Source organism: Homo sapiens, chromosome 7 (assembly GCF_000001405.40).
Source record: "Homo sapiens chromosome 7, GRCh38.p14 Primary Assembly".
Taxonomy (NCBI): domain Eukaryota; kingdom Metazoa; phylum Chordata; class Mammalia; order Primates; family Hominidae; genus Homo; species Homo sapiens.
The window spans coordinates 98,724,281-98,731,316 of NC_000007.14; the positions used below are offsets into that span (position 1 = coordinate 98,724,281).

Sequence of the window (7,036 nt, forward strand, 5' to 3'; positions counted from 1 at the left end):
GCACCCGGCCTCTGTCTATTTTTTAATGCAAGCATTAAAAAGATACCATTCATGAAATAAGTAGATGGGCACATGGAAGGGGTTTTGTTAGAGCAGCACCCCTCAAGTATTTGCAGTCTTTCAGAGTTAGGTGCCCAGATTCACATAATGACCTATCATCAAGAAAACTTCCATTGGTCTTGTTTTAATGGTACGGAAAGCTCAGTGTTGGAGACACCTGGCTGAATTATGACCTTGTCCCAGGAGGACATCAGCTCCCAGGGGCAGGCCTTGCTGGTCTCTCTGCTCTGTCCCTAGGGCCTGCCCAGTGGTCATCTCCAAGGACCAGAGTAGGTGAGTGGGTATAAAACTACCTACCTGTATTCGTTTGCTAAACCTGCCCTCACAAAGGACCACTAACCTGGTGCCTGAAAACAACAGAAATGTATTCTCTCATCATTCCAAAGGCCTGAACTGCAACATCAGTTTAACTAGCCTGTGACTCAGGTCCCAGTGGTGCTGACGGTGGTGATCGCTAGCCAGGAAACCTACCAAGGCTCTGACTATGCATTGCAAAGGCTCTAGCCCTCTGCAAAGCAGTAGGCTTCTGGCTGTGGTCAAAAACAGTTTTTCTTTTTGTTTTTTGTTCTTCAGACAGGGTCTGGCTCTGTCACTCGGGCTGGCGTGCAGTGACACAATCTCAGCTTAACGCAGCCTCTGCCTCCTAGGCTCAAGTGATCCTCCCACCTCAGCCTCCTGAATAGCTGGGACTATAGGCATGCACCAGTACAGCTGACTAATTTTTGTATTTTTAGTAGAGACAGGGTTCCACCATGTTGACCAGCTGGTCTTGAACTCCTGACCTCAGACGATCTGCCCACCTCGGCCTCCCAAATGCTGGGATTACAGGCGTGAACTACGGCACCCAGCCAACAAGGACAGTTTTTACTTTATTTGTTCTGTGAAATGGGAGAACAGAATTCTTGGAAGGAAACCAAAGCTGCCAAGGAAAATCTTGATTGCAGCTGCCTTCTCAGATGGATCTGTTCCGGGAGACTGAATCTCTTGGAGTCTTCTTGTGTCCCAGCTAAAATGAGTGACGCCAGGGGCTCCCAGAGCTTAGCCTGAAGCACTTAACGGAGTGCTTGTTGGGCAACAGCCTGGCACGAAGAGGACATCAGCTCCCTGGGAAGGCCTTGCCTGGTCTTCTCTCTGCTCTGTCCCCAGGGCCTGCCCAGTGGATATCTCCAAGGACCAGCGTAGGTCAATGCACTGGTGGCTGTGGCTCATGCCTCAATGATGCTGACAGTGGGGGGGGTCATTGGCCAGGAAGCCCATGAAGGCTCTAACTACGCCACACTCAAGCTAACAACCAAAAACAGGGAGGCCCCACGGACTTTGCTTTCATGGTGCCAGCTGTCACTTTGCTCAAGTTTTCAAGGGATTTCCAACAAACTTTAGCCAGAGATTTCCATCAGTAGAGCTGAAATCCACATCAGGTATTGGTTACCTTATTTGTGCATTCATTTCTTCACTCCTCAAACAGGTAGGAAATGGAGCATTCGTGGGTTTTCACTATCTGTGTGCCAGGCCCTGAGCCAGGCACCAAAGGCAGGAGGATCACTTGAGGTCAGGAGTTTGAAATCAGCCTGCACAACATAGCAAGACCCAGTCTCTAAAAAATAATTTTTTTTAGTTAGCCAGGCATGGTGGTGCATAGCTGTAGTCCCAGCTACTTGCAAGGGTGAGGTGGGGGGATCACCCAGGAAGTTGAGGCTGCAGCGAGCCATGATCACACCACTGCACTCCAGCGTAGGAGACAGCAAGACCCTGTTTACAAAAAATAAAAAGTAATTGTATCGCTATAATCTATAACCAGATGCACTCTGATATGGTTTGGCTGTGTCCTCACCGAAGTCTCATCTTGAATTGTAGTTCCCATAATCCCCACGTGTCATGGGAGGGACTCAGTAAGAAGTGATTGGATCCTGGGGGCACATTTCCCCCGTGCTGCTCTTACGATAGTGAGTGAGTTCTCACAAGATCTGATGGCTGTTCTTTTCTGTTTTGTTTTGGGTTTTTTTGAGACAGAGTATTGCTGCGACGCCCAGGCTGGAGTGCAATGGCTTGATCTCAGCTCACTGCAACTTCTGCCTCCTGGGTTCAAGTGATTCTCCCACCTCAGCCTCACAAGTAGCTGAGATTACAGGCACCTGCCACCATGCCCCGCTAATTTTTGTATTTTTAGTAGAAACAGGGTTTTACCATGTTGGCCAGGCTGGTCTCGAACTCCTGACCTCAAGTGATCCGCCCGCCTTGGCCTCCCAAAGTGCCAGGATTACAGGCATGAGTCACCACACCTGGCCAGATCTGATGGTTTTATAAGCCTCTGGCATTTCCCTTGCTTGTACTTCTCCCTCCTGCCACCCTGTGAAGAAGGCACCTGCTTCCCCTTCAACTTCCATCATGATTGTAAGTTTCTTGAGGCCTCCCCAGCCATGCAGAACTTTGAGTTGATTAAACCTCTTTCCTTCATAAATTACCCAGCCTCAGGTATTTTCTTATAGCAATGTGAGAATGGACTAACACACTCTTACCCTCAAATCTTGATGTAATTCTGCTATAATATAACTTCTTTAAAAGTTTGATATAATTTTACACATACTAAACTTCCACAACCCATGTATCAGCAATGGGCTTAAACACTGGGCCAGGACAGTACAGTGGGTCTCCTGTCCTCAGGGCCCTCACCATGGGGAGGCAGGTGCAGGCAGGACGACAACTCCCACCCTGCTGGAATGGAAATCCAAGCCCTGGATGCAGCAAGAGGGAAAGAAATTCAGGGTCTGGTGGCCTTTGGGCTGCAGTCCTTGACACTGTCTGCCCTGAACAACCCCCAGCCCACTCCTGCCATGTCATCATTTGAATATGGGGTGGGGGGCACTCGGATTTCTAAGAGTTCCTTGACATTCACCTTCCAGAACTCCGCCTCCTTGACATTCACCTCCTAGAACTCCACGTCCTTGACATTCACCTCCCAGAACTCCATGCCCTCAACATTCACCTCCCAGAACTCCGCCTCCTTGACATTCACCTCCCAGAACCCCGCCTCCTTGACATTCATTCTCCAGAACTCCGCCTCCTTGGTGCACTGTGTCAGAAACGTCTTCAGGAGTGGGGAGGACAGGGACCAAAGAGTGGGGGAGCACACACTCCCCCTATCTCCCAGGAACAATGTCCCTGACCCCTGCATCTCTCCTGGAGGCTACCCCCACCTCCCCACCCTTTAGGGAGTGCTAGCCCTGGTCAGATCATGAATGTACCTGTTGTCTCTGTCTTCCTGTCTGCCTGCAATTTAAGACTGTGATGATTTGAAGAGCTTCAGTTTGTTGACTGCCACCCTTGCACTGGCTTTTAAAAGGATTTTCAATCTCCCTCTCTTTTTTTCTCTCTCATCCTTTCTCTGCCTCTCTCTCTCTGTCTGTCTGTCTCTCCTCTCTCTCCTTTTCCCTCTCTTCCTGCTTTCTTTTCCTTTTTTGGGAGTCAGATTTATTGGAGCATAATTTACATACCATAAAATTCACTCCTGGAGGCTGGGCATGGTGGCTCTTGCCTGTAATCCCAGCACTTTGGGAGGCTGAGGTAGGAGGATTCTTTGAGCCCAGGAGTTTGAGACCAGCCTGGGCAACATAGCGAGACCCCCATCTCTACAAAAATAATTTTAAAAATTAGCTGGGTGTGTGGCATGTGTCTGTGATCCCAGCTACTTGGGAGGCTGAGGCAGGAAGATCGCTTGAACCCAGGAGGTTGAGACTGCAGTGAGCTATGATTGTGCCACTGCACTCCAGCCTGGATGACAGAGCGAGATCCTGACTCTTAAAAAAATAAATAATTAAAATTAAAATTAAAAAAAAATATTTTCTTGTCCATTTCTACAAGGTGGTTTTTTTGTTTGTTTGTTTTTTTGACAGAGTCTCACTCTGTTGCCCAGGCTGAAGTGCAGTGGTACAATCTCAGCTCACTGCAACCTCCGCCTGCCAGGCTCAAGTGATTCTCTTGCTTCAGCCACCCGAGTAGCTGGGATTACAGGCGCCCACCACCACGCCCAGCTAATTTTTGTATTTTTAGTAGAGACGGGGTTTCGCCATGTTGGCCAGACTGGTCTCGAACTCCTGACCTCAAATGATCCACCCGCCTCAGCCTCCCAAAGTGCTGGGATTACAGGCATAAGCCACCACGCCCTGCCATTTCTATGAGTTTTAACAAACACATACAGTCATATAACAATCACAGTCAAGAGAGGGGACCCTTGTGACCCTTCTGTAGTCAACTCCTTTCGTGCACCCACTCTGGCAACCGAAGACATGTTCTCTGCTACTCCTACAGTTCTGCCTCTTCCAGATTCTTGTTTCCTTCCTCCCTCCTTCCTTTCCTCCCTCTTTCCTTCCTCCCCTCTCCCTCCCCTTCTTCTTTCCCTCCCTCCCATTTTTTTCTGCTCCTCCTTCCCTTCCTTCTTCCCTCCCTCCCTCCTTCCTCTCCTTCTCTCCTTCCCTCCCCTCTCTTCTTCCTCCCCTCCTTCCTTCCTTTTTTCTTCTCCCTCGTTCTTTCCTGTCTCCTTTAGCAGCCAACTTATTTCTGCAAATGAACAAGAAGGAAAGCAAACCAATTTTTTTAAGGAAACAAATTCTGTGTGCTTCCTGATGAATGCTAGTCTACTTAGCTCAAGGGAAGAATTTGAGAGCAGAAATTTCTTTGCTTTTCCTGGCCAGAACTCATGCTGAGATTGGGGGTGGGGGCGGTTATATTACTATTCTGATGGAGCCGAGAATTTATTTGGATGAAAAATGGATCTCCACTTGAGCAGGAATGGGGTCTTATGGCAGGAACGGAGCAGTGGGGTCACCACAAGCCTCGATATGCTAGACTCCAAATTAATAGCTTAGCTCCTAGCTCCTTGCAAACTCGAGATCTTGGCCATGTTTCCTTGGCTGTGAGTTAATAATTGCAACCTGTATTCCAAGAAAGGCTTCATTCTGCTTTAAATGAGCAACAGAAAAAAGCCAGTTTCCAAATATGTGCCACGTGAGACACATTCAGTAGAGTTTGCATCAGAAACTCATCAGCAACAAAAGGGAGAGGGTGACTCGGGCCGCCCTGTGGCTGGGCTGTGAGATAGATTGAGTCAAGAAATTCACCAACGAAGCATCAGCATCTCCAGATCTGTCCCTCACATGCCATGAGGCCACCACTCAGTGCAGATGGCCTCAGCCCTTTCTAGGAAGAGCTGGGGGGTGCAGAGGTACAGAGCTGGGAAGAGTAGGGCATGGGATTGGGGTGGACACTGCATGTTGGAGCCCCCAGATCTCCCCTCTGCTCTCACATCCTAATCCTAATATCCTTCCCAAAGGGGTTAATTTCCTGAAGCTGCCTGATATTTTTTTTTCCCTGACACCAAATAAGTAGTGTCTTCTCTGACATCAACCAATGCTCCAGTCTTCCCACACCAACTGGGTTTCCTGCAATTCAATCCTAGCCTGACACTAACTTCTGGAGTTACGGCAGACGGCCGTCTTCTCCCTGTGTCCTCACGTGGCCGTCCCTCTGTGTGTGTCTGTGTCCTAATCTCTTCTTACAAGGACACCAGTCAGGTGGGATTGGGGCCCACCCTAAAGACCTCATTTGGATGTAATTCCCTCTTTTTCATTTTATTTTATTTATTATTTATTTATTTATTTTGAGATGGAGTTTTCAGTGTCACCCAGGCAACAAGGTTGTCGGCTCTCGGCAACCTCCACCTCCCGGGTTCAAGCAGTTCTTGTACCTCAGCCTCCCGAATAGCTGGGATTACAGGTGTACACCACCATGCCTAGCTAGTTTTTGTATTTTTGGTAGAGATGGGGTTTCGCCATGTTGCCTAGGCTGGTCTCGAACTCCTGGGCTCAAGCAATCCTCCCGCCTTGGCCTCTGAAGTGTGGGGATTGCAGATGTGAGCCACCACGCCCGGCCTTAATTACCTTTTCAAAGGCCCGATTTCCAAATAAGGTTATATTCTGAGGGACTGGGGATTAGGAGTTCAACATATGAATTTGCAGGGGACACAGTTAACCCCTAACACCAAACATGGCAAGAGAGGAATGCAGGAGAAAGAGACAGAGGAAGGGAGATGAAGGTCACCAAAGGGGAAGATGGGACTGAGGAAGGCGCAGCAGAGGAATGAGGCAGCAGGACAGGCTCATGGGGTCAGGCTTCCGGGGATGGGGGTTGGGCTTCCTGGAGGAGGTGGTCGCTGGGTCAGGCTCTGTAGGAAGCAGCATCGTGTTACATCTAACAGGATCATTGACACTGGAGTCAGGATGACATCAATATGGGTCCCAGCACTTAGATGCTCAGCTGGGCAAGTTACTTAACCTTGGTTCCCTCCTCTATGAAACAGGGCTTCTCATACATCTATGGAGTTATTAAAAGCAATAAATACACCGGGCACAGTGATTGATGCCTGGAATCCCAGCACTTTGAGAGGCTGAGGTGGGAGGATCGTTTGAGGTTAGGAGTTCAAGACTAGCCTGGGCAACATAGTAAGACCCCACCTCTACAAAAAAAAAAAAACTAAAAAAGGGCTGAGCATAGTGGCTCACACCTGTAATCCCAGCACTTTGGAGGTCGAGGCAGGTGGATCACTTGAGGTCAGGAGTTTGAGACCAGCCTAACCAACATGGTGAAACCCCATCTCTACTAAAAATACAAAATTAACCAGGCATGGCGGCACATGCCTGTAATTCCAGCTACTCAGGATGCTGAGGCATGAACCCAGGAGGGAGAGGTTGCAGTGAGCCTCGATTACGTCACTGCACTCCAGCCTGGGCAACAAGAGCGAAACTCTGTCTCAAAAAAAAAAAAAAAAAAAAAAAGAAAACTTAAAAAAATTAGCTGGGCATGTTAGTGCATCTGAGTTCCAGCTACTCAAGATTCTGAGGTGGGAGGATCTCTTGAGCCTGGGAGGTCGAGGCTGCTGTGAGCTGAGGTCGTGCTTTCCATGATGGTAAGCAATGATAACAAC

The 7,036-nt window shown here is 48.7% G+C and overlaps 1 annotated feature.

Annotated features, from left to right (window-relative positions):
- Positions 5,931-6,430: an enhancer, noted in NCBI's record as "H3K27ac hESC enhancer chr7:98359523-98360022 (GRCh37/hg19 assembly coordinates)". NCBI's record gives its function as "activates a minimal SCP1, AML or CMV promoter by ChIP-STARR-seq in primed H9 embryonic stem cells {active_cell/tissue: H9 hESC(primed)}" and the evidence as "EXISTENCE:reporter gene assay evidence [ECO:0000049][PMID:30033119]".